Genomic DNA, 27866 nt, shown 5'->3' with positions numbered 1-27866 from the left:
ATCCCAAATGTAATTTGGGTTTTATTTAATTACAAACAATTGTGTAAAATGTTGGGGCCATTTGAGAATCACATCAGGCAGTCAGATTCCACATCTCCTTAAGAATCTTACCACTCACATATAACACACAATTACTGGTTTGCTGAGTAAGAATAAATCATTCCCATGACCCAGAAGAGGACAAAACTGGAGAAACAGCATTAGTCATCTCTCCCCAGGCATGCTCATGAAAGGCAGGCCTATGAGGAGAGACACCAGGCTCAGGATGGTCTGGTCATATGTCGTTGTCATTTATATGTTGTTGGATGTGAAAGAGGCACTCAGGTCTCACAGCCCATGGTTGGGCTGGGGATCTGAGAGACTCGAGGTTGAGTTCCATGAGCAACTGACTGACTTGATTCAAATGAAGGAAACAGATGAATGCCAGGCTTATTCATATCTTCTTCAGAATAATGTGACCTGAAAAACAAGTTCAAACAGGCATATGAACTAAAATTAAGTGTTAAAGTAGTTAGTTTGCTTATGTTTTAGCATCTACTTGTACTCTCTGGTAGTCAGGAGAGCATAGTGGTTAAGAAACAGGGCTCTGGGGTCCTACTCTCCAGGCTGAAATGCCCACCCTTATATTGACTAAACCTCTCTGCCTAAGCATTCTTGTCTGTAAAATAGTGCTGGTTATAGCACCCAACTCATTGGGTTGTTGTAACATTAAAAGAAACAATCTGCACAAAATAAAGCACCTAGACTGTGTCCTTTCCAAGTAGTTATTGTTGCACATTTCTCTCTCTTTCTCTGTTTCATCTCAAGATTTCCTGGGTGCCCTTATTCACCCTCTAGAACCTCAACTGGCCTTGGTGTCCTATCCAATGACCTAGGCTCTATGCATATCCCAGCTAAAGCCCCCTTCACACTTTCCCCCAGCCCAACTTTATAAAGGCTTTACTAGAGCAGCAGTTTTCAACTTTAATGGGCATGTGGATATCTTGGGGGATGGAGATATAATGCAGATCCTGATATAGTAAGTTTGCATATACCCTGGGAAGATTCTGCAGTTCTAGCAGTCTCTGATGCTGATGACCCCTGGGCTGGCTGCACCTTGAGTAGCAAGGCACCAAGTAACTGGCTATCCAAATTGACTAGCATTTTCTTTTTTCTGGGCCACTTGAATGATTGAGTGCTTCAGCTTCATCACATTAGTGAAAACTAAGATATTGATAAGGAATAACACTTTAACATGTGACCAAGTCAGGGAGCAATTTTACATCTAAAGAAGCCTGATCCAAAGAAGGAAAAATGTGAGGCTGGAAATTTCGGGCCTTGACATATGTAGGGAAAAGATACTTTGTTAGCTGCCCTGACATTACTAGATAGGCAGTTTGCATTGTCAAGTGGTCCAATGGCAAGTTGTGAATGGTGAATACAGGAAAAAATGTTTGCCATCATTTCTGGCAAAATTCATGCCCACTCAGAACTTTATTTGAAAATAGGGTCTTTGCAGATGTAATTAGTTAAATTGAGGCAGTATTGGAATAGAGAAGGCTCTAATCCAATAATTGGTGTATTTATAAGAAGTGACACACAGAATCAGAGAGAGACAGGCGCAGAAAGAAGTAGATGGTGAGAAGACACAGAAAGAAGGCCCAGTGACAATGGAGGCAGAGATTGAAGTTAAGCTTCACAAGCCAGGAGTACCAAGGATTGATAGCAAGCTTGGATGGTGTGGAGAGAGGCATGGAACAGATCTTCCCTCTGAGACTCCAAGAAGAAATTAATCCTGCTGACACCTCAATTTTGGACTTCTGGCTTCCTGAACTGTGAAAGAATAAATTTCTGTCATTTAACCACCTCGTTGGTTATAAAATTTGCTATGGCATCCCTAGGAAACTAATACATCATCTGTGAGGAGTCAAGGTCAACTCAGGTGCCAAGTGATTCCCTGGAACCTAATGTTTAAAGGACATCTGTCATTTTCATCTCTGGCAGCTGAGCTGGCACTGAAGTCATTCACTGAATATATGAGAATAGTGCTAGAGTGGGCATCCTGGCCTCCTTTGCTCTCTTTGTTCAATAGGGACAGAGGGAGGAGAAGGGGCAACTTATTCCCATTTGGTTCAAGGACTAGTCCCTTCAGAGTAAGGACAATTTAAGGCTCCTGAAAGAGGATTCAACCAGTCACTCCATTTCTTATCTGGCCAAACTGCCTAAACACAAACCCCTTGCATGTGACAAGGTCTTGGGTGAGGCAGATAGCAAAGAGAGATCAGTAGTGGAGGAAGCACTGGATGGACAGCCTCCTGCAGATTATTCCCTGGGACATGACCTAACAGAGGGTGGTAAGAGATGTTCAGGAGTTAGGTGAGAGGAACTAGGGAGGATGTGGTTAGTGAATGGAATGAAAGTGGTCCAATCCGTCAATGCTAGTTTAACCTCCTTGTAGGCATACTTGCTCTGTGTTTTTTGTCTCACATGGGCACAAAGTCTTGCCTCCTAGGCTTTCACAACCTCAGACAATTTGGAAACTTTTGCTTTGACTAGTTAGGAGCCTGAGATCCACATTTATCTCAAGAAAACATACTCAATTAAGGAAAACATACTCCCCACCCATGATTATTCTATATTCAGTAACACTGGTTAAACATGGGCCTCCTGCCAAAAAGAATCTTCAGTCTGTTTAAACAGAATGAGGAAAATGCCTAAAATTATTCTTTTCCCATTTCCAGCCCAGTGCATTTATATCTTCTTTATTCCACTCCATGGTTTAATGTAGTACAATATATTCAGAAAGCACACTTTATTTACAGAAATTAAAAGATCCTATTGAGGTGCTCTAAACATATTTCTAATCCACTAGATTGGATGAAAATTACATCACCAAATGTTTGAAGGAATTGTCAAGTTCTGAGGAAATTCAAGTCCTAACCTCTCTACCTAATATTGACAATAGCACCAGATTTGAAGTTGAAATAACTATTTTTTTTGTTCAAGATCTGCCTGTTACAAGGAACCCTGAGAACATATCTTCAAAGTTTCTGAGGCTTAGTGTGTTATACATAAAATTACTCTCAAGTTTGCAGAAAAGTTTTACTAATAGATTTATAGGTCATATCGTGTCTGGAGTTGGTTCCTGCTGGTGGGTTTGTGGTCTCGCTGACTTCAAGAATGAAGCTGCAGACCTTCATGATGAGTGTTACAGCTCTTAAAGATGGCACAGACCCAAAGAGTGAGTGGTAGCAAGGTTTATTGTGAAGAGCGAAAGGACAAAGCTTCCACAGCATGGAAGGGGACCTGAGTGGGTTGCCACTGCTGGCTGGGGTGACCAGCTTTTATTCCCTTATTGTCCTCTCCCATGTTCCATTTCTGTCCTATCAGAATACCCTTTTTTCAATCCTCCCCACGATTGGCTACTTTTAGAATCCTGCCGATTGGTGCGTTTTATAGAGCACTGATTCGTGCGTTTTACAGAGCGCTGATTGGTGTGTTTTACAATCTTCTTGTAAGACAGGAAAGTTCCCCAAGTCCCCACTGGACCCAGGAAGTCCAGCTGGCCTCACCTCTCACTGTCCCCTCTAAACAGGGCACTTCAACTGCTGTTGGGAACTGGGCGATGACCACTCTAGCTACTTCCTGCTGGATGGGTGTGAAGAAGGGGCCCTGCTGTTGTAGTGTCCTCCAGTGGGGAACTCTCTAGGCCAGTCAAAGGCCCAGTGGGTCAGTTCAGGGTTCCTCAGTAGAAGTTGTGAGTTGAGCTCATTTGGGGTTCCATTTGTAAGACCATCTGTAGCTTGATGGCCTCGATCCTGGAGGAAATAAATTTGACAAGAAGGTTAAAAATATAGGGCCCAAAAGTGAGTAATCACAAGATGGCTGTCATGGGAACTAGAAAGGGGAGAAGCCATGTCGCCCAACTCCAGAGGTTGGTATAAGAGTTTGAAAGGCATTGTCTGATTTCAGAAGCCTTTTCCTGTAAATGCCGGGTGGCGTCTCATACTATCTCTGACTGGTTAGTGTAAAAGCAACACTCTTCCCCTAAGAAGGTGCAAAGTCCTCCTTTCTCAGCAGTGAGGAGGTCTAGGCCTCGGTGATTTTGGAGAGTCACTGCTGCCAAAGAGCCTATTTGGGATTGTAGAGTAAGGATAGATTTTGTTTTTTCTTGCAAACTGTCTGGGAAATCCTTTGAGAGTGTGTGGTAGTAGGATAATGAAGTAGATAAACTGGCTATTCTGGTTCCTGTAGCAGTGGCCATTCCTAACCCTATAAGTAGGGGTATTAGTTGTATAGCCCTGTGCTGACAGACTTGAGCTTTGAGGGACACTGATAGGGTCTGATTTCCTGGGGCAATGTCAATGTTGGGACTTAGGAAGATTAAGGTGCAGGTGCCTGTCCAGTTGGTGGGGAGGCAGATATAGGTGGAAGTTCCACATAAGAAGAATATGCCATGGCTGGGTAGACAGAACTGGTTGTGTATGTTAAAAAGGTGTGTGAGTTTGTTGTTTTCATTTTCCCATACTCCTAGAGTACTTGCCAAGGTAGCTCTGGTGAGTGGGTGGATAGGGGTGTTGGGAGCAAACTGAGTGACTCCCTGTGTTCTATTTTCCCATTAGAGAAAAAATCATTTTGTATCTACTAGGAACCATTCAAGAGAGTAACTGAAAGAGGGAATGAGAAGGCATTCATTAGTGTTGGGGGCACTGCTGCAGGGGGTCCAGGAGTCAATGGTCATACAGGGAGTATGTGTGCCATTACAAACGACTTTAACAACTTCCTGAGCCTTCTCTGTCTTGCAGAGGAAGGCTTCTATCCAATTTGTAAAGGTATCAACACAGGCAAACAAGTATTGAAATGCCCTTGACTTAGGCATATGGGTGAAGTCTAACTGCCAGTCTTCTCCGGGATAGTGCCCTATTCTTTGTTCATCATAAGGCCCCAAAGGGACAAAGGGATTATTCTTTTGGCACACCTCACAGGCCTTGACTACTTGTCAGATGGTCTGGAGGAGATCTGGCCCTGTAAATAGGGATTTGGCCATTTGATGAGTGTTCTCAATACCCATATGAAAAGTTTGATGGAGGGTCTTAAGTATTTTCTACTGGCTGGCTTTGGGTATGAGTACCTTTCCCTCTTCTTTCGTTAACCACCCCAAGGAGAGAAAACTATGCCCCCGTGAAAGTCCTCATTCTGTTTCGGTCGGGGAATACTGGGGCTTAATCTCTTGGAGAGGGTTGTTCCATACCAAGTGTCCTTCCATAGGTATTTCTAATGGGAGGTTCTGCCTGGCAGCAATTTTGGCCTCAGCATCTGCCTGATGGTTTCTTTCTGCCTTTTCTTCTTCAACTTTTTGATGGCTTTGGAAGTGTAAGACTGCCACCTGCTTGGGTTTTTGCACTGTGTGCAATAACTCCACAATTTCCTTGTGGTATTTAATGGGGGTTCCCCCAGAGGTTAGGCACTCCCCTTCTTTCCATATTGCAGCATGGGCATGTAGGATTAGATAAGCATTCTTGCTATCTGTATACACATTTATTCTTTTTTCCTTTCCCAGTTCTAAGGCACAGGTAAGTGCCACTAGTTCTGCTAACTGGGTGCTGGTCCCTGGGGGAAGAGGCTTACTTTCAAGTACTGTTACATCACTAACTATGGGATAACCTGCCCTTCGTATCCCATTCTCCACAAATGAACTTCCATTGGTATATAGGTTAAGGTCAGGATTAGCTAAGGGGACATCTAAGAGATCCTTTTGGGCAGCATAAGTCTGGGCTACAACTTCTTGGCAATCATGATTGATTGGCTCCCCATCCTCTGGAGAAAAGTCACACCTGTGTATTTGAAGCACCGGTTCCTCAAGGAGTAGCACCTGGTATCTAAGCAGGTGGTTGTCTGATAGCCATAAATTTCCTTTGGCACCTAGTATGCCATTTACCTCATGAATAGTCCAGATGGTGAGATCCTTTCCTTGTATTGTTTTGATAGCCTCTGATACTAAAATGGCCACTGCCGCAACTACCCACAAACAGTGAGGCCAGCCTTTTGCTGCTACACTGATTTCCTTACTTAGGTATGCCACTGGTTGTGAGGTTGTCCCCTGAGTCTGAGTAAGGACTCCAAGAGCTATTCCCACTCTCTCTGTGATGTATAAATAGAAGTTTTGTCCTGTGGGAAGGCTTAAGGCTGGATCTTGTACTAGGGCCTGCTTTAAGGTTTTGAAGCATCTTTCTGCCTCTAGTTCCCATTCTACTAGATGAGTATTTGCCCTCTTGGTCTCCTTGATTAGAGTATAGAGTGGCCTGGCCATCTCACTGTATCCAGGGGTCCATAGTCAGCAAAAGCCGGTGATCCCAAGGATCCCCCAAAACTGTTTTAATGTCTTAGGGCAAGGACAAGCCAGTATAGGCTGTATTCGTTCTTTGCTGAGGGCCCTGGTTCCTCTGGCTAAGATTAGGCCTGGATGTTTGACTTGTTATAGGCAGAGCTGGGCCTTCGATTTAGACACCTTGTACCCTTGATTAGCTAGAAAGTTCAAAAGATCTAGAGTAGCCTGCTGGCATGAGGCTTCCAAACTGGTAGCCAAAAGTAAATCATCCACATGCTGAAGGACCAGAGTGCTTGGACTTGAGAAATGGCCTAGATCTTGGGCCAGTGCCTGACCAAACAGATGAGGACTATCCCCAAACCCTTGAGGCAAGACCGTCCATGTAAGCTGGGATGTGTGGTCTGTGGGATCCTCAAAGGCAAAGAGAAACTGGGAGTCAGAGTGCAGGGGAATGCAGAAGAAGGCATCCTTGAGGTCCAGAACAGTGAACCATTCTGCTTCCTCTGTTATTTGAGAGAGCAGGATATAGGGGTTGGGTACAACTGGATATAGAGGAATTACAGCCTCACTGATGAGTCTAAGATCTTGCTCTAGTCTCCACTGACTGTTTGGTTTTTGTACTCCTAGAATTGGGGTGTTGCGGGGACTGCTGCATTTTCTTACTAAGCCTTGAACTTTTAATTGTCTAACAATATCCTGTAATCCTTTATGAGCTTCAGGCCTTAAGGGATATTGCCTTTGATAAGGATAAGTGGTGAGGTATTTTAGCCTGATTTGGACTGGGTGGGCATTGTTTGCCCTTCCCAATTGTCCTTCCAATACCCAGACTTCAGGGTTGATTCCCTCCTCAAGTAGGGGACAATAAATGGGTAACTTGCTCCCCATATTCATATTGATAATAGCTCCAGCTTTGGCTAGTATGTCCCTTCCAAATAAGGACGGGGGACTTTCAGGCATAACAAGAAAGGCATGTGAAAAGAGCAAACTCTCCCAATTACAACTGAGGAGGTGGGAGAAATACCTGGTTACAGGCTGTCCCAGGATTCCTTGGATAGTAACAGACCTTGGGGACAGCCGTCTGGGGCAGGAGATTAACACTGAGAAGGTCACACCAGTGTCTAGGAGGAAGTCAATTTCCTGGCTCTCAATGGTTAAACTTACCTGGGGCTCAGTAAGGGTGATGATATGAGCTAGCGCTTACCCTGGGTACCCTCAGTCCTGTTGTTGGATCATCTGGTTGGAGGCTTCTGGCCCAGAGAACCTTTGTCCTCTGGAGCAATGTGCTTTCCAGTGATTGCCTTGGCATACTGGACATGGGTGAGGGGATGGCTTGTTTCTCATTGGACAATCTTTTTAAAAGTGTCCTTGCAAACCATACTGATAACAAGCCCTACTGGGTGATTGGCCTGCTCCGTTTTCTGTCCTCTCTGAATCACCAAGGTTTGTTTGTCTGAGAGCCATGGCTAAGGCTGTGGCCTTTCTCTTATCTTGCTTTTCCTTTTCGGCCTGTTCCTCTTTGTCCCTATTATAGAAAACTGAGGTTGCCAGGTTTAATAATGCCTCCAAATTTTGTTCAAGGCCCAGGGCTAGCTTTTGGAGCTTTCCCCTGATATCTGCAGCAGACTGGGTAACAAACTTATCTTTTAGGATCAATTGACCCTCAAAGGAGGCAGGTGACAGGGCAGTGTATTTTCTTAAGGCCTCCCATAGTTGCTTGAGGAAGGTGGTAGGATTTTCTTCCTTTCCCTGAGTTACAGTGGACATTATTGAATAATTCATGGGCATTTTCCTAATTCTCCTTAGTCCTTCTAGAACACAGGTCAACAGATGTTTGTGACTCCAGTCCCCATGATCTGAGTCTAGGTCTTAGTGGGGATCCACACTGGGGATGGCTTGCTGACCAGTAGGGAATTTGTCCCTTTCTTCGACTGTCATTCTATCATTTACTTGACTAAGATACCAGGTATATCCAAACTCTCAGGCTGCAGCTAAAGCGCATTCTTTTCACTAAAGGCCAGGGTTTCATCTAACAAAAGCTTGACATCTCTCCAAGTGAGGTTGAAGGTTTGCCTTAGACCCTGTAGGACGTCTATATACCTATCAGGATCAAATGAAAACTTCCCCAGGTCTACTTTGATCTGCTTTAAATCAGAGAGGGAGAAGGGAACATGTGCCTGGCTTGGGCCAAATTCCCCTCCCCCTACAACTTGAAGAGGACATAACCAATAGCCCAGGGGTGGGGGGGGCGGTGGTTTGTGGTCCCTTGGAGATTTCTTTTCTTGTTTCCTTCTGGGTGGGGGAGTTAGAGGAGGCTTATCATTAATAGGAAGGGGAGCTGTAGGGAGGCTAGGATATGGGGGTAAGCTGAGAGGTCCTCCTATGGAATGTAGATTGCAAGCTTTGCATAGTTGTGGATTATCCTTCAATGAAAAGAAAGCTTTGACATAAGGTATTTCACTCCATTTACCTTCCTTCTTACAGAAAAGGTCAAGCTGCAGGATAGTATTGTAATTTATACTTCCCTTAGGTGGCCATTTTTCCCCATCAGAGAGAGAATATTGGGGTCAGGCCATAGTGCAGAAAAAAAAAAGCTGCTTCTTTTTCAGGGTTCGTGGGTCAAATCAGTCCCAATGGCTTAGGATGCATTTCAAGGGTGAGCTCGTTGATGCCTGAGTGTTTCCCATCTGAAAGAAAAAAACGCCCACAGTTTTGGTCTGTTTCCACACCCCCACTGCCCACCCCACCCAAGAACCTACGACAGTCCCTGGACCCTGCTGTTCTGAATAGTTGTGCTCACTGAAGCAACAGTGGAAACACTTGTTTTCCTCCTAGGCCACAAAGAGGACCGAGAAAGCTTGGATTTAGTGGCCCTTACCAATGCATTCTCGAAAACCTGTTAGAGCCCTAACTCCTGTTGGTATTGAGACCTTACCCTTGTCCTATAAAGACGATATGCCTCAAAATGGAATGGAGGGCCATACCCTGAGGGAGGGACGGGATCTCCAGGGTTGGAAGAGTGAAGCCTTTTGTCTTCACTTCTCATCATATGAATAGGAAGGATATCCCCCCAATTTTGGAGTCTAAAATTTCTGAGACTCCCCCTGTCCTAGCTTCAGGAATAGCCTTTGTTAGGCCTGCTAGTCTGAGGAGGGATCCTAAAATTCCAGATGGTCCCCCCAACGACGGGGGTTTGGGCAAAATTTATGTGCCCCAGGGTGCCTTTTTCCCATTGAAGAATTTGGCTCTTTCTGATTGGTGAGCCTGGGTGCCTAAGGAAGGGAACAGAGTGCCAAAACTTGTATTAGAAATCACCCTTACAGGAGAAACTAGAAGAGCACCAGGGACAGGAAGTGGTTTTTAGAAGCAGGACTATCCTTGGAGAAGAGGGGTAGGAGGAAGTTTGTCTGACAGGTGTTAGGACCCAGGATGCAAGGATCAGGATAGATAGGATAGATGGGCAAGTCTTGCTTAGGCAACGTAACTTTGAGAGCTCTGCTCATGGCTGCAGGGTCAACCAACTTTTTGTTGGGACCCTGGAGCTGAATGGCTCTCCTCTCTGTTGACCCTTGGCTCAGCCTGGAAGTGCAGGAAAAGCGGAAGCTGGTTCCAGGCAAACCAACGCTCCCAACTCCGAAGAGTTGGGGGTTGTTAGAGAGCCCTTTCCCAGAAAGCCTGACACCCATGTCTTTAGTCTAGTGGCTGCACTAGTCACTTTTAACTGGCTGACAGGTGCCTGCTGTTTAGCCCCCAAATTCTAAGGAAAAATAGGATAGAATAGCAGCGAAAGGGGTCCAATGGTACTCACCGTGTGGTGAGATCCCAGAGGAGCCCCCAAGATGTGTCTGGAGTTGGTTCCTGCTGGTGGTTTCGTGGTCTTGCTGACTTCAAGAATGAAGCCACGGACCTTTGCAGTGAGTGTTACAGCTCTTAAAGATGGCACGGACAAAAAGAGTGAGCAGTAGCAAGGTTTATTGTGAAGAGCAAAAGGACAAAGCTTCCACAGCATGGAAAGGGACCTGAGCGGGTTGCCACTGCTGGCTGGGATGGCCAGCTTTTATTCCCTTATTGTCCCCTCTCGTGTTCCATTTCTGTCCTATCAGAATGCCCCTTTTTCAATCCTCCCCACAATTGGCTACTTTTAGAATCCTGCTGATTGGTGCGTTTTACAGAGTGCTGGATGGTGCGTTTTACAGAGCATTGATTGGTGCATTTTACAATCCTCTTGTAAGACAGGAATGTTCCCCAAGTCCCCACTCGACCCAGGAAGTCCAGCTGGTCTCAGCTCTCAATATAATATATGGTTAGGCAATAAATCATTCATATTTATTGTCTGAATGCACAGATGAAGAATGTCACATTGAGCGGCATCCTCATTGCGTTGTCTTATGAAACTATTTTCCTTTCTGTATGAATTCCTCCTCTGATTATTGATGTTGCCTGAGCTTTATTTATATGGCATAAGCCCACCTCACTCTTTACCAAATATGGCCTTACTTACAACATGCCTGATACCTGTCATCTGGATTTTGCATATCTCTCGAATTCTGTGCTTACCTTTGACTCTAACCAGTTAGACAATCAGGAAACTTGGGAGTCTTCATTTCAGGAGCTTGTGGTGTTGCTGGAGTTTGAAATGCAGCCTCAGCTTTCTGTGGTGATTCACACTGACCCACTGCTTGTGTGTTCATTCCCATGATAGGCTCAATTCTCCCACGTGTTACAATCACCTCAGGAATGGTCTATAAGGTGAATTATCACTCAACTACATGAGGTAGAACAATAAAAATAACAAAATATTTTGATTGTTATATAGATAAAATGAGATATTATATTTGAATATTTATTTAAAAATGCTAAAGCTCCACAGAAATGTATTCAGGATGGAATGTTTTCTTCATTTAATAAAAAGTTTTTAAACAATAGAACCTGGCTGCATACTCCTATGGCTTTCCAACCTTCTGGGCTTATCTTCAGCACTTCCATTTTATGGAAGACTGTGTCTTCAGGGCACTGAAGACGTCTCTATCTATTCCTTCAACAAATGTTTTTGACCACTTACTATGGTACTAGTACTCTTCTAAGCACTGGTTGTTTCCCTAGCAAGCAGACTGAGAAAATAAATAAATAAATAAATAATAAATAAATAGGCACTGGTTGTAACAGAAATAAATAAGAAAGAATATATGCCCTCATAAAACCTATATTCTAGTATTAAAGACCAACAATATACAAGTAAACTGATATAATCACTCTAAATTGGATTCATGTTATGAAGAAGATCAGAAACAATAACAAACAAGAGAGGAGCAACTTTAAATGGTCAGTCTGAGAAGTCCTCTCTGAAGAGGGACATTTAAGTTGAGACCAAAGGATGAGAAGGAGCCCTGTGTATGAGTAACGCCTGAGTGGAAGAACTTTCTACAGAAACTTGTCTGTGAAGTGAAATAGCAGCTGAAGGAAGAGAAGTGCAGCTGCAGTGATGCAGGGAGTGGGGAAGAGGTTGGAGAAGGAACAAGAACCAGATCCTACAGGATCCTGCAGGGGCCAAGTGCCTGGATTTTATTCCAAAATAGCAAGCCATTGAAGGAAGTTTCACACAAGTGTGACATGATTTGATTTATATGTTAAAGGATCACTTGAGTTTTGGAAGGAAAATTAGTTGGAAGCGGACAAGAATAAAAACAGGAAAGCAGTTGTGGCATGGTTACAGTGCACCAGGCAAAAGGTGATGTTGGCAGCAGAGGAAAATGGAGAAAAGCAGATAGAGAGTTGAAATATTTTAGAGTTACACTAAACAGGCCTCATTCAGGGATTAGATGGAAGTGGGGATGAAAAGAGGGAAGAATAAGGACTTGTCCATTTTTATAGCCCCAGCCCTTAGCGCAATGCCTAGCACATAGTAAATGCTCAATATTTAGAATTTATTTTATTTTTCCCCCCATAAAAGCTAAGTCTCCCAAATTAATGATCAGGGAAAGAACAGAGTTGTGTCAAAAAAATTAAATAAGTAAAAGGAGACTCTAAAGAATGCATAAAGGGGGAAAACAAAGACAAAGTCTTCATTTTGGAGAAGCTGGTTAATGACTTTACTGTCAGTGGATCAAGGTTAAAGTCTTTATGTCTTTTCTTTCAGGCAGATTTCCAATAAATGTCTAAGGAAGTCCTAGGCCAGCAGAGGCAGAATTGAATATTGCATGGTGAATAAAGGATGGCACTGTATATGGAAAAGATATTTTTAAAGTGATCTTGTGATTTAGGAAATAATTTTTCATCGTCTCCTTGGCTGACTTTGAAGAGAGAGCTTAAGAATAAAGAAAAGACTATGAAGCATATAGTCCGAAAATTATAGAGCTAAGCAATTCTGTCGTGGTACACTGATTCAGATATTACAGAGGGCATTTTGTTAGCACTCTGTTTTAGCATTAATATCTCATACACACAGACACATTCTTTTTCAATACGGAAATAGACAACATAATCTTTGCAAAATTTTAAATAGGAGGTACAAATATTTCTGTGCTTCAGATTGATGAGGTTAGGTAAAAATAAACGAGGGTTATACATTTTAAATATTAAAACAAGTGATTGCAGACAACCATACTTGAATTGGCACCCCTGGTTTAATTCAAGATCTTTTAGAAATTCTGACATTCTTGAAAAGGGATTTCAGGCCCCCTTAGTCTTTCTTTCAAGATTGAATTTATGGACCACTTTTTTTAAACCCTGCTGCTCCTTACATAGTTTTGAGTGGTGCCTTCTAAATCCCCTGTAAGTTAACTTAAAAATAAAATAACTTGCCTTTATGTTAGTACTATTTCAAGTCTAAAAATGGTATTCACAAGTTTCGTCTTGCTCTTTCTACTCTTTTTGCAGTACTTAGTCTCCAGAATATGATTGATAGATGGGCTACTCCAGGAAAGAACACATCACACACACATCAATTCCATTCTATTAGAACAGTGATGTTTGTGGGTTCTATTTATTCTCTGTCCCTAACCATGCCTCCTTCATTACCCTTGCAGCCAAATGTTAACTGAAATATTAACAGCTTCAAAAAAATTGTATTTATTAACAGATGACCCAGTTATTGCAGGAATGAAAGAAAAGAATAATGGCTTTTAAAGGGAAAGAAAGAATAATTCTAAAGCACTGGCAAGTGGCACCAATAAACACTAACATACAGGCTGAAGGGTCTTTTGGAGGGTCTCTCAAATCAGGTGTCTAGCTTTCTCTTCCCTTTACATTATGGTCAGCTCTGAACCTCAGATCTTCTCCAGAGGTGCACTGACTTCATAGATAAGTACAGTGTGGGAAACATCTCCTCTGCAGGATACATCAGAGCTAACCCCCTGTTCCCAGTGGTAAGATTTCTAAAGAGGTACTGAACTTCTTACTTTATTTTGCAACTGCTCTCTCTCTCCCAACCTGGAATGGAAGGATTAAATACCTTACATAGCCTGTTTATTTGGCGGGAATCCTGTAATAGATATTTCAACCCTTTTGAAAGTTGTTTCTAACTCCCTGTCCCTTCTTTAAACGGAATTCATGTCTTCGTCCTTTGGCTCACTCAGCATCTATTCTTATTCCCTTACCCTCCTGTACACAATACTTTATTATACTTAATCATATACTATATTGTCTGTTTTCCCCCACTAGTCTCCTTGAGAGAAGGGACTTGCTTTATTTGTACTTGTATTCCTGAATGCATATTAGAGGTGCTATTTCAGCGTCCTACCTAAATGGAAAGATCAGGAAGGCATTTCCACTGTATTAATCCCTCCTCCCTCAGGGCACCATAAAGTAGTGATTCAAAAAGCAAAACAGGTGTTCAAACATATCCATTCCTCCCTGGATGTGTTCAAATCATCAAGAGAAGTGTGGAAGAAGGTTTAATGGAACCACACACAACACACAACACTCTTATCCGCACCACATAGTACCATTAGTGGAGAAAAAAGGAAAAATGTGGCTCCTGAGATCCTACATGCTGGGTTTGGGGCCATTTTATCCCAAGCTTCTGGCTTAGGAGGAAAACACTATTGAAATTCTGCACAGTCAGACACCCTGGACACAACTCAAGGCTGTGGAAGTGACTACTTGTCTATTGTTGTTATTGTCACTGTCAGGTAACACCTTATCTTAGCATTCCTACATCCGCAGCCTCAGAGCAGAGGAGCCACTGGATTTCATTGATCTTAAAAGAACTTTCTTGAGTTCAACCAATACTGTTCATAAATTTTAAACAGGAAACTCAGAAACCTAGAAGTCAATGCTATCATTTCAAAAGAACAATCTTAGTCAATTCAGCTTATTACCCTTGAATGTTCAATCCCTGAAAATGCAGCATTTAAACTTTCACTTCAGGCTCCCTTGTTGTATTACCAGGGCTACTAATGTAACCTTCTATTCTAGTCAACATTACAAAGTCTTTGGCCAGGAACCAAGTGTACTTTATAAAATAAACTTTCTGGTACCACTGAGGATGATGCCCAATGAATGTTTGGTGAATGAATAAATGAACTAGTGAATGACATTTAAACTGTCTCAATTTCCCTTCTTCCACCCAATATTCTTCATAATCACTTCCCTTGACGTCATGTGCGAGACACCAGTATCACAATGTGAGTTTAGTTCTGGAAGATGACAAATGTAAAGAAGCAACTTGGCTACACGTGTCACAAAAATGCATCAGAAAAGTTATAGATGACTCCCAAAAGGAGACTTCTTAAAGTTACTATTTTTTTTAATCAACAGAGCCATAAATTCCAAAGACTAAGCCCTGATAGGAGTTACATAGAGTGCCTGTTCCTCAAGAGTATCAAAATAGAATGAGAGAAAGTCATAACATCAAATATATTTTTAAAATGTACCTTTCCCCATAATTTCAAAAGATGTAATTAGGAGAAACCTATGAATGATTTCTAAATAGATCATTTCAGTCATGGTACCATCTGCAACTTTTGTCATGATATAATTAATTCCTCTCTACAAATCTTTCTTTCTTTCCTTCCTTCCTTCCTTTCTTCCTTCCTTCCTTCCTTCCTCCCTCCATCCCCCCTCCCTTCCTCCCTCCCTCCATCCCCCCTCCCTTCCTCCCTCCCTCCCTCCATTCCTCTCTTTTTTCCTTCTTTCCCTCTTACTAGTCACTAGAGATAGATGTATTCATAAACATTATCTTAGGTATTCCTTACTACAATGAAATATAAGTACTACTGTAATTATTTTTGCAATTTGGGAAACAGTGTGGGAAACATCTCCTCTGCAGGATACATAAGAGCCAACCCACTGTTCCCAGGGGCAAGATTTCTAAAGAGGCACTGAACTTCTTACTTTATTTTGCAACTGCTCTGTGTGCCCAGGGTCACACAGCAGAGTTAGAATTCAAACTCAGGACTGAAGATTCCAAGATTCATGATCAACCTATTTTATCAGTTTTTTTCATCATTGTTGAAAACAATAATGTCTTTCAGGGGTTATTAAGAGTTAATTTTAAAGCTAGCCAAGCACTGTTACTCATGCCTGTAATCCAAGCACTTTGGGAGGCTGAGGTTGGTGGGTTGCTTGAGCCAGAGAGTTCGAGACCAGCGTGGGCAACATGGTGAAACCCCAACTCTACAAAAAATACAATAATTAGCCAGGCATGGTGGTGCATGCGTAAGGTCCCAGCTATTCAGGGGACTGAGGCGGGAGGATAGCTTGAGCCTGGGAGGCAGAGGTTGCAGTAAGCTGAGATTATGCCACTGTACTCTAGTCTGGGCAACAGAGTGACATGAGACCTTCCCTCAAAAATTTTTTTGAATTAATTAATTTTAAAGCTAATGAAAAGGAAGAAAAAACTTGAAAAATGTAAGATAAATCAAGAAGATAGCATATTTTATAGCCCTAAACCAAAAAATAGTGGACAATAGAATTGAACAAGGATTAAATTTTAGTGTCTTCAAGAATCTTCTGGATGTATTATAAAAATTGATCATATGTCCCTAAAAGCCATAATATAATTATCTGAATGTAATCATTTGACAAGAAAATCAGTTAATCAGTTCTATGAGGGTAGTTTGATATTTGACAGCAATGATGGCCTGCAGGGACAGAGATTAAGAATACAGATGGAGACACTTGGGGAAGGGCATCATTTACAGACAAGCCCAAGATATTTTACTGCTAAGGTTTCTCTGTTCACCTCCTTATCAAGTAGAGTGTGTTCCTTTAAAGATAAATAATGTAATGTTCACGTTTCTGCAAGGGATTTCCAGTTGAAAGGATGATTGGTCAAATTATTGGATGCTCTTGGAATCCAAAATCCTCAACTAACTGGCCTACAAAGTGCCCCAGGATCTGGTTCTCTGATAGCTCCAGCCTCATCTCAGCTACTCCCATCTGGCTTTCAATCCTCCTAAGCCACCGGCCTTTATTTTTTCCAGAGTGCCATACCCCATCTGCTTTGGGGTCTTTACCTTTTCATTACATTTCCTTTACCCATCCCCTTTCTGCATTTTCTCTCTCCTCTACCTCCCAACCTCTTTCTTATTTACTTTTATTTCTTTTTAAATTAATTTTAATTTGTATTTTCAGTTCTGGGGTATACGTGCAGGATGTGAAGGTTTGTTACGCAGGTAAACATGTGTCATGGTGGTTTGCTATGCTTATCTTTATTTATTTTCATGTCCCAGCTTACTTGCTTAGAGAGGTCCACAGGTAGCACAGGTCAGGTATGTTCCCCACCCCAGGCTGAACACTTGCTAGTACCAGATGTTGTTCTACATGCTTCACATGTGCTATCTCAGTTAATCTCCACAGCAACCCTGAGAGGAAGGTACTATTATAGCTTCATATTATAGCTGGGGAAACTGAGGCACAGAGCGATTAAGCAACTGGCTACTGTCACAGGGATGGTGAGAGGAAGAATAAGACTTGAGCCTCTTGGGCAGATTCCAGAGCCCATCATTCTCTCAGGCATTTGGCTAAATTGTCTCTCTTAGGATGTCCTATCTGCCCACTCCTGGCATCCTTCTCCTTGAAGCATGCCTCTTCTTAAATTTTTGTGAAATGATTTGTTTTTGTCTATCTTTCCTACTATAATCTCTATGAGAGTTCAGCCACAGTCCTTGTATCTAGCACTGTGCCTGAAATATAACAGGTGACCAAGAGATATTTGAAGAGTAAAAATTAGAAGGTCAAAGAGAAGGATAGATGGAGGAGCAGATAGTCTTTACTGGTGTAGGCCTTTAAAAAATGGTACCAGTGCCTCTTGGATTTTGAGCTTTATTTGCACGCAAAAAAGAACTCTGTCCCTGGGTCGGCAATATTATCATCGTTTACAAAGAGCAGGGTGCTTAGGGCTACATATTTTGGACAGACCAGGTCTTGGCCCACCTCAATTTAATTTTTTCAATAGGAAGCACTGCTGTTGCAGGATGCCCCAGATGTGACCAAACTTTTAAGAGGTCAAGAGGTCAACAATAAAACTGGTATGGAGCAGAGGAGTGGAATAAAATGGCATAGTATTTTTAAGCTAAAAGAGACCATAAACACAGCCAATGCAGCTTCATGCTACAATAGTTGATGTAGCAATGATTCTTAGTTACTTGAGCCGTATTTCTTCAACCATATCTTCATCTGTTTTTGGCATAGGCTAAGGTATTCAAGAGTGTTCTGACAGTGCCCTCCTATCTGGTGTGCTCTGCTGCTGTCAGACAAAGATAAGACACAGGACAATTTAGCAAAGCCATGTGACTGTGATGCCGACCCTTTCATCCAGTCTATGGATGAGACAGTGACTGATAATACCTTCAAAACATCCTCCACTTACCAAATGTCTGAACTCAAACACAAATCGACAGTCTTAAGGCATAAAGCAGTTATTTCACAGAAGTGTGAGGTTTGAACACAGGCTTCTGAGGAAACAACCCTTTGCAAAGGTTTCATGATTGAAAATTGCAAGGCAGTTTTGGTGAAGATCAAAGGCTGATTTCAAAGAACAGACCTTCCTGAATATTTTTCTTCATTCTGGTATCTGACCTACCTAGAAGTACAACTCCAAACCCAAAGGTTGCATAAAAGAATATTGCTTGGGGCACAGATTTGTAATGAGAAAACTACCCTCTTGCTAGCTGTGACCTTGGGCAAGTCAGTTGACCTCTCAGAGTCTCAGTGTTCTCATCTGCAAAATGAAGCTAGTTCTTCAACAAACACCTGGATAATGACTTCTGTGTGTGATGTGCTGTGGATGATGGGAGAGCTATCATTTCTCAAGTGCATACCATGTTTTGGGGGCGTTACCTCTATTATCTAACTCCATTCACAACAAAGCTGTTTAGTGGAAACATTGGAAACTGAGGCTTGGAGAGGTAAGCAACATGGTGAGTGGAAAAGCCAGGATCCGAACTCGAGTCCGGACCCCAAAACCTTTGCTCCTTTTACTCAGCTTCACACAAGCCCATGTGTGGGAAAGGGCTCTGAAAAGTGGGAGAGCAAGATGTTGATCACTATATGTATATGATCACAATATATCATTTATATGCAGTTTTAAATGGACTTATGCTCTCCTCCTAAATTCTTTTCTGTCCCATTGTTAGAGTGAAGCAAAATCCTTGGGGAAACTTTCTTTACCCCATGGAACGCCATAGAAAAATGTAAGGGAGCTTGCAGTAGATTTGCCTGCCTGCCTGTGGCTCAGCCCAACCTCCATATTTTAGGGGGTAGGAGAGTGGTTGTGACGAATTCTCTAGAGACCCCACAGGCTGGGACAAGGGACCCAGACCTCCTTTCCTTTCTCTTTTCTGAAGCATCAGAGCATCTACAGGCAAGATCCCTTCAACCGCCAGCATAAGTATACACTTGGGGAGCACTTATTCTCTTGAAGATGATTTATCTGTAAAGGCTTCGAATGATCGAAGTGTTGGTAAACTCAGACGCTATTGTCTCACACTCTTTTTTCACTCCTGCAGCTGCTGGTTGGTTTGAAGAGAAGTTTAGTGCTCTCAACAGCAATGAACAGCATTGGGTCAATATTCAGTGGCCGGGAGACAATCTGGGTTACTACGTATGCTGCTTTGTTGTGAACTGGAATTGGCATCATGTCTCCAACATTCTGAAGCCAAGGCTGAGGATATACAAGGTCTAGAATCATTAAGGGTGTGATAAAGTGCTGAGAAACACAGGAGAATGCATTGTTCAGTGAATGAAAATTGAAAAGAGAGATGGAGACAGACAAAGAAAAAGACTGAACAACTGAATAGCCAATTTTTTTTAACTCTCAGGATGTTTTCTCCTACCTGGATGGACACAATTTTCTGTGGTGTTACATGATAGTATTGCCTGGGGTGACCATACAATTTACTGACCGACACAGGAGATTTTGAGAGTAACAGAAATGTTCATCATATTTCCATACTCCAACTGCCTTGAGCAAGCCTAGAATGTAAGTCTCCCCAGTATCGCCCAATAAATTTATTTTGCTATCCAGGATCTGTCTTTGGAGACGTGTTCCTGATGAGGTGTGATGCATCCTGGCCTGCACACATGGCCTAATGCATAATTGCTGCTCATTAAATGATGGTTCCCCTTTCATCCCAACCCTGCTAGGCTCCTCATTAAGCTACATTTTCTCAAATGTGAAGATCAAGAATAGGGCTCTGCAATCAAACAGACTTGGGTTTGAATTCGAGCTTTGTCAATTTCTAGCTGTGGGATTTGGGTAAGTTACTTAAACATTTCCAATTCTCCAATTCTTCATCTGTGAGGAGGGGGTAATAATAGTACCTGACTCCTATGGTCATTGTGAGGATGAAATGAAGTAATGCAGGGAAAGTGACTGACAGCGTCTATCACACAGCAAGTGTTCAATAAAGGTTTAGTATAATGATTAGCTATTATTCATTATTAATGAAAAGGCAGGGATGATATAACTCCTGATGTTTAACCCCCTAAGGTCAATAAATACCTAGAACAACATCCTTCTGCCCTCCCCATAAAATTAATTCCTTTTCCTATTTGACTCATACTCTTACACTCCTAGTAAAAGTTGATAGTGCATTAAGGCCAACATGAAATGTACTTGTATCTGTATTTCCTTCCATTCTTTTCTTCTTTGTATCACTAGGTGCCTAGCACTGCCCAGCACCTGGTATATGCTCAGTAAATTTTTATTTTTTATTTTGAGATGGACTCTTACTCTTGTCATCCAAGCTTGAATGCAGTGGCGCGATCTCGGCTCACTGCAACCTCCACCTCCCAGGTTCAAGCTATTCTCCTGCCTCAGCCTCTTGAGTAGCTGGGATTACAGGCACCTGCCACCACTCCCAGCTAATTTTTGTACTTTTAGCAGAAATGGGGTTTCATCATGTTGGTCATGAACTCCTGATCTCAGGTGATCTGCCCGCCTCAGCCTCCCAAAGTGCTGGGATTACAGTTGTGAACCACTGTGCCCGGCCAGTAAATATTTATTGAATTCAATTGAGAGTGTACATGTTAGGCTGTTCTTGCATTGCTACAAGAAAATACCTGAAAGTGGGTAATTTATAAAGGAAAGAGGTTTAATCGGTTCACAGTTCTTCAGGCTGTACAAGCATGGCACCATCATCTGCTCAAGTTCTGGAGAGGCTTCAGGGAGTTTTACTCATGGCAGAAGATAAAGTTGGAGCAGGTGTGTCACATGGCAAAAGCAGGAGCAAGGGGGGGGGCAGTGCCACACACTTTTAAATGATCATGCCTCATGAAAATTCACTCACTATGGCAAGGACAGCACCAAGCCATGAGGGATCTGCCTTGGACCCAAACACCTCCCACCAGGCCCCACCACCAGCATTGGGGATTACAATGAAACATGAGATTTGGCAGGGACATATATTCAAACTATATCAGGATAGTTTGAAAAAGACTATTCAAATTATTTTCAACTCAGTAAGTAAGTATATTGTTTTGCATCATGTCTGAAACAACCTCCATTTGCTCTTTCTGATGGAGATGCACTTTAAATTGAAGGTCCTAGCCGGGCACAGTGGCTCATGTCTGTAATCCCAGCACTTTGGGAGACCAATGCTGGAGGATCACTTGAGGTCAGGAGTTTGAGACCAGCCTGGCCAATCTGGTGAAACCCTGTCTCTACTAAAATTACAAAAATTCGCCTGGTGTGGTGGCGGGTGCCTGTAATCCCAGTTACTCAGGAGGCTGAGGCAGGAGAATTGCTTGAGCCTGGGAGGCAGAGGTGCAGTGAGCCGAGATCATACCACTGCACTCCAGCCTGGGTGACAGAGTGAGATTCTGTCTCAAAAATAAAATAAATAAATAAATAAATAAATAAATAAATAAATAAATAAATAAATTGCAGGTCCCCAGAATAGAGGTGTAGTTTTCAGCTGAGGTTTGGGAGCTAGGTCAGCAGATTTGTGGTTTGTTGTGCTGGGCCTGGGTGGACTCAAAGCCACTGAAAGCAGAAAGAATGGTAGCTTGAGAGACAAACAAACCTGGATTATATCCTGGTGTGGCCACTAACTTGGAGGTTTGGGGTAACTTTCCATCATTCATTGAGCCTTAGGTTCCTCAGCTGAGGAGTGGAAATAATAACATCTGTAATAGGTGTCACGTGTGTTACACATAAGTGGGAGCCCAAAAGGTGATGAGTATTGGGCATCTGGACATAAGTCTAGTTAGCCAGATAAGAATTTCCCACAGGACTGAGAAGATCAATTTAGAAGGTCAATAGAAAAATAACTTAGAAAGAGAAGACAGGAGAGGGGAGCTTGTGTTAAAGGTTGCCCAGGCTCTGGATAAAGGGCAGATTTCTGCTGTAAAATAGGCCCAAATCCCCAGCCAAACATGAGAGCACAAGTCAATTTAAGCATGGTGTTTTTCTTGTAAAACAACCCTAAAGTAAATGATGCCTTGTTAACTTTAGCCTTATGACCCTAAGTAGCATCAGTAGCACCTGGAAATTGGTTAGAAACACAGACTATCAGGCCCCATCACTAAATCAGAATCTGAATTTTACCAAGACACCTGGGTGATTCACATGGTCATCAAAGTTGGAAGCATACTGACCTACCAGAACTAAGACATACCAGACTGAATTTTCTTTTAAATAAAATCTGCTTAAGCTCAATATGCCAGAAGTCTGAATTCTCTCCTGGCTTTCCAGGGTCTGAGGCAGAGTAATCTTCCTGTCCAAGTCCCCAACTCTCAAGGCCACTGACTTGGCAATGTCACATCAGCCCTCATGGGAAATAAGGGTCCTTTGCTGGGAACCTGAGGCTCGCTTTCTTTGGAAACCTAGAGTTCTGTGGAGATGGGGCCAGGTTCTCACAGAAGAACCTTTTATCTACAGCTTTAAAATCATTTATTTTTCTTGCCACTTCCGTCTAAGATTGCCTAGCTCCTGTCTAGCGAGTTTTCTCAATCTTCCTGAAGCATTTACCACTCATTTATTTGTTCCACTTCTTTTGCTTGGGTACCGTCCCACACTGCTCCAGTTATCCAAATTTGTCAAAACCTTCATCCTTCTTTAAACCAGTGGTTCTAAACCTTCGCTAGATTTTAAAATCATCTAGGTCCAATCTGCTGATGAGGTTTTTTAAAAAAGAAAGAAAAACAACAAACAACAAAAAACAATGCTTTGGCCTTACTTTTGACCAATTCTAAATATTTAGGGGTAGTTCCCATGTATTAGAATGTTTTTAAAGCTTCCCAGATTATTCCAACTTGTAGACAAGGGTGAGAACCACTACTTTCAGCTTTTGGCATTTTCTTTACTTCTAATCTGTCTACAGTTTTGCAATGCACAAGAAGACTTAACTGTATGTTATTTTGTGCTGTTCTCTTATTTGTCAATCATTCCTCCAAATTAATTGTTAGCCCTTACCAGTGGTGCTGGGGGAAGGCTCCTATGGGCTTATTATGAAAGACAATTGTCATGTGGAAACATGGTTTATGAGGTGGGCTACTCTGTATCTCTTCCCAGCTCCACCTTTAGTGAAGTTACATTGATAGCTTGGAAGTGGTTGTGCTGGGAGTATTTATCACACAGAAAATTGGTATATACATCAGGGTGTTTTAAATTTATTTTTTCCATAATAACCAACCTTTGGCAAACTAGAAATTTTAAAAAATTATAAACTTTAAAGAACATCCACAGAAACATCAGATTTTAAGGTGAAATGGAAACATTTTTCTAGAAATAAAAAACAAAACAAAGAGGCTCACTCTTACTGCTTCATTTCAACATTGGTAGGGAGGATCCTAGACAGTGCAATAGAATAAGAAAAAATAAAAGTAGGCTGGTGTGGTGGCGCATGCCTGTAATCCCAGCACTTTGGGAGGCTGAGGCAGACCAATTGCACGTGCCCAAGAGTTTGAGACCAGCCTGGCCAACATGGCGAAACTCCGTCTCAACTAAAAATACAAAAAAATTAGCTGGGCATGGTGGCACATGCCTGTAGTCCCAGCTACTTGTGTGGCTGAAGTGTGATAACGGTTTGGACCCAGGGGGTGGAGATTGCAGTGAGCAGAGATCATGCCACTGCACTCCAGAGACTGTGTCTCAAAACAAACAAACAAATACACACACAAAAAAAAAAAAAAAAAAGAAAAAGAAAAAAGAAAGGTATACATATTGGAGTGAAATAAGTAAATCCCTCATTATTCCCAGATGACATATAATTAAATATGTTGAAAATCTAGGCAAATTATTTGTATATAGATTATTAGAATTAATGTGTAAGTTTAATAAAATTTATTTAGTCAATTAAAAATCAATTAAGATCAATAAAAATTTAAAAGTTATGAAAATATCAATTAAGAAACCAATTATATATGTATATATCAGCCAAATACGTAGAAAAAAAGAACTAAAAAAAAAATAAATGTAGCTCTGATAAACTTATTCCCACAAGCAAAAATTTCTTTTTAATTAATTAATTTTTTTTTCCAGAGAGCCAGCTGTTAAATATTTACCAGCCTACCACTACTCTTCTGTTTTTAATTTTCCCACACTGAGCCCAGTGCTAGAACTGGGGTAGATATTTAATAGGTTATTACTGGGGCAGCAGTTTTCAGGGCAAGATTTGTTGAGCCTAGAATGAAAAGGAGGGTGGAGACAGAGATGGCGAGGGAGGGAGGCAAGACTGTGTATAAGAGAAGGGTGCTGAGGGAAAGGGTGGTGTGGGCTCAAGGGAGAAGCCGATACAGATGTGCTTCAACAAGCAGTGATTTTAGGGAACATCCTGTCAGCAGAGAGTCCAGGTGGCACCCATGATGAAACTTCAACAGAGACTTCATAGAAGAAGGTATGTCAGTGGCCAGTAATGATGGTCAACATCATGGCTCATCAGGAAAATTAAACCCACAATGAGATGCCATTTCACTCCCAGCAAATGACAAAAATCAAAAGACTGATGAGGCCAAATGCTAGAAAGAATGTGAAGTAACTAGAATTCCCATACATTGCTGGTGGGGGTGTAAAATGAAACAAACTCTTTCAAAAAATCTTTGTCAGTTTCTTATAATGTTAAATGTGCATTTATAATATTATCCAGGATTTCTGTTCCTAGGTATTTACTCTAGTGAACTGAGAACTTATGTCCACAAAAAGACTTGTACAATGATGGCAGCCTTGTTCACAATAAATAAAAATCAGAAACAACCCAAATGTCCATCAACAGGAGTATGAATAAACACATCATGGTATATTCATGAAATAGGATACTAATCAGCAATAGACTTAAAAGGATAAAATTACTGATATATACAACAACCCAGTTAAATCTCAAAAACATTATGGTGAGCTGGATACAAAACAGACATACTGGGTGATCCACTTATGTGAGGTTCAAAAATAGTCTAAACTAAACTACAACGATAGAAACAAAAATGGTGGGTTTTCTTTTTTCTGATAGGAGAGAAGACTAGGAATTAGTTGGAAAAGGAGACAAGGGACTTTTCTGGGTGATGGAAATATTGTATATCTTTTTTGAGTAATGGTTACACATTTGTATGCAATGTTCAAAGCCCACAGAACTGAACACTCCAGATCTGTGTGTTTTATCTTATGTGAATTATACTCAAAAAACAATAATATAGACATACATACTGTATCAGTTGTCTATTGTTCATAACAAATTACTCCAAAACTTAAAGTTTAAGTCAGCAAATATTCGTTATCTCACACAGTTTCTGAGGATCACAGATTCAAGAATAGTTTATCTAGGTGGCTCTGGCTCATGAAGTTGCAGTCAAGCTCTCAGCTAGGACTGCAATCCAAAGACTTGATAGGAGCTGAAAGATTTACTTCCAAGCTCACTTGCATGGCTGTTGGAAGGAGGCTTCATCTTTCTACCACATGGGCTCTCAATGACTTCTGCAGCATGAGTGCTCCTAGAGAGAGAACAATCAAGGCAGAAGCCATAATCTCTTACAACTAAACTAGGAAGTGGCATCTGTCACTTCTGTAGTCTTGCACTGGCCATGCAGACCAATCCCAGTACAATGTGGAAGGGGACTACACAAGGGTGTAGCCAGGAGGTGTGGATCATTGAGGGCCATCTTCAGATCTGGGCCCCTTATATACATATTGTAGGAAACACTTATATACATATTGTAGCAACGCCTGGCACATAGCAGCAGTCCAACGAATATCAGTGATCATTACGTGGTGTCCCAGGCATATTGGAAGAGAGGTCACACCTCATGCATGAATCTTGAGTATCAGCAGTTCTCAGTAAAATAAGTTTTAGCTGAGTGAGGTGGGGAAGGCAGGGAAGAGCATACCTTTCACTACATATAAAGGTGCTGAGGATTTAGTTTGCCAAGAAAAGAACAAAACAGTAAAAACTTTGGCCATGCAGGGAAGAGGAGAACTGGGCAAAGGGTTGACATGAAGCACAGACAATGGATGATATTTGGGGGATAGGAAGATTTGAGCATATTTACTAGCTATCATGACACTTTCTCAGTTCTCCTTTTCCTTCTCTGACTGAAATTTCTGAGACTTCTTGGCTGGCTCATTCTTCTTTCATCCTGGAATGACCTTCTCCCCTCCATCTAACACCCATCAACACTACCTCTTCTTAGCAGAGGCTCCTTCTCTGCCCTCATGGTGCATCCTTTGTACATGTGTCTTAGCTCTTATTTTATTTGGGTTGACTTTATTGCTAGTTGTTCACCTCTATCTCTGACACTGTATTTTGAGTTTCCTGAGAACAAGGACTGTGGCTTACCCGTTTTCATACTTTCTGCAGTGTCTTGTACATAGTAGGTGCTCTATAAATGTTGGTTGACATGAAATGGCATGTGGCAGTGATTTGAATTCTGTATCCTCTAGCCCAGAATATATAAAGCCTCATATTCTCTTTATTAACCACCCAATTAATTAGCAACTTCCAATAGGAAAGAATGACTCACCCTCCTCACACACACATTTCATTTCATTTTTGGAGCCCATGACCAAGTAGGTGTAAGTCAGGCTGTCTTCATAACTTTGTCCATGACAGTGACAATGGATATTGAAATTGAAAAGAGCACAGAGAGGAACAGATTACCTCAATAGACAAAGAGAAGCCTGGTTCAAAAGGAGAATATCCCAGACAGCTGTGGGCAATTCAGCAGCTGAACTGAACATTCCATGGATTTTTGCTTACAGGTTCCAGTTCTTGCACTTTTCCTATTCATGTATCCAAAGCAATGTGCTTCTAATATTATCTAAGCCCCCTTTTTCATCACTGTTTCTGGTCATTTCCTAATTAAAAATCCATCATAATATTCAATCTTTTGTTGTTGTTGTTCTAGAAAGAGGTTTTTACCTGAAGTAAATAGATTTCTATTACACACTTGCAGTTAGTAATTTGATGTCCTTGTCTGCTCCAAGGACCATCTGAGTCTTAGGTACTTCTGTTAAGTATAGGTCCAGTCATGGACAGGTATCATATGGTATAGCTTTAAGAGCTACAAGGGTTTTCTAGGTTAGAAGAAAAAAACATAATGATCTCACTCTTGGAAGCACAATTAGGCTAAGCATCCCAGCAGAGCCCACCAACAGGACACAACTCAGTATTTGCTGGCCCTAATCTGTCTCATCACTTTGGTCCATGTCCTGGGACTCAAACCAGCCCAATTTGTGAGTCAGTCTTGACCTAGGTCAGATGTATGGGGCTATGAGCTCTACCCATGGGTGGACTCTGGAATTAATTAGTCTTGGCTGCTACTCCTGGACATATCCATCTGCCCTGAGTCAAGGCCTTTCCCCCAAACCTGCAGGGCATTTTACTGGCATCATTTAACATGAGTAAGAAACTAGGTATGAGGGTGCGACTTTGTGCTGCTGTTTTCCAACTTAGTCCTTTAGTTGGGTCCAGCGAAGTGTTGGAGAGGCAATGTGATTTGTTTAATAATAATAATAATATCCCCAAATCTGAAATCAAGCTAATTTAGATTATTTTTCTTGGTTCCATTTCTTATTAGCTATTTGGTCATGGGCAAGTTACACAACTTCTTTTCCCATTTGGGAAATGGGGGAAATAATACTTGCTTTACAAGTTTGTTTCAATAATTAAATGAGCAGAAGGTGTGAAAG

General features: G+C 41.7%; 2 long non-coding RNA genes across 2 annotated transcripts in view, besides 1 other annotated feature; both read right to left on the bottom strand.

Annotated features, from left to right (window-relative positions):
* Positions 1-3: 3 nt before the first annotated feature.
* LOC107984467 (uncharacterized) lies at positions 4-7563 on the bottom strand. The gene is made up of 3 exons (XR_001749160.2): positions 7469-7563; positions 3552-3797; positions 4-459 (listed from the first exon to the last, which is right to left on the bottom strand). It is a non-coding gene; the product is annotated as an uncharacterized LOC107984467 (long non-coding RNA).
* A 1341-nt stretch (positions 7564-8904) lies between these two features.
* LOC105369902 (uncharacterized) overlaps positions 8905-27866 on the bottom strand; it is a 39059-nt gene continuing 20097 nt past the window's right edge. The window contains exons 2-3 of the long non-coding RNA XR_945203.3: positions 10862-11069; positions 8905-8991 (exon numbers count right to left, since the gene is read on the bottom strand). This is a non-coding gene — a long non-coding RNA (uncharacterized LOC105369902). The remainder of the gene's footprint in view (positions 8992-10861; positions 11070-27866) is intronic.
* Positions 17747-18291: a transcriptional cis regulatory region, noted in NCBI's record as "candidate enhancer chr12.2878 targeted for multiplex CRISPR interference". NCBI's record gives its function as "positively regulates BTG1 gene expression with high confidence in K562 cells {active_cell/tissue: K562}" and the evidence as "EXISTENCE:mutant phenotype evidence [ECO:0000015][PMID:30612741]".

The sequence above is a fragment of the Homo sapiens genome, chromosome 12 (assembly GCF_000001405.40).
Source record: "Homo sapiens chromosome 12, GRCh38.p14 Primary Assembly".
NCBI classification, from domain to species: Eukaryota; Metazoa; Chordata; class Mammalia; order Primates; family Hominidae; genus Homo; species Homo sapiens.
This window is presented reverse-complemented; position numbering and strand designations above follow the sequence as displayed.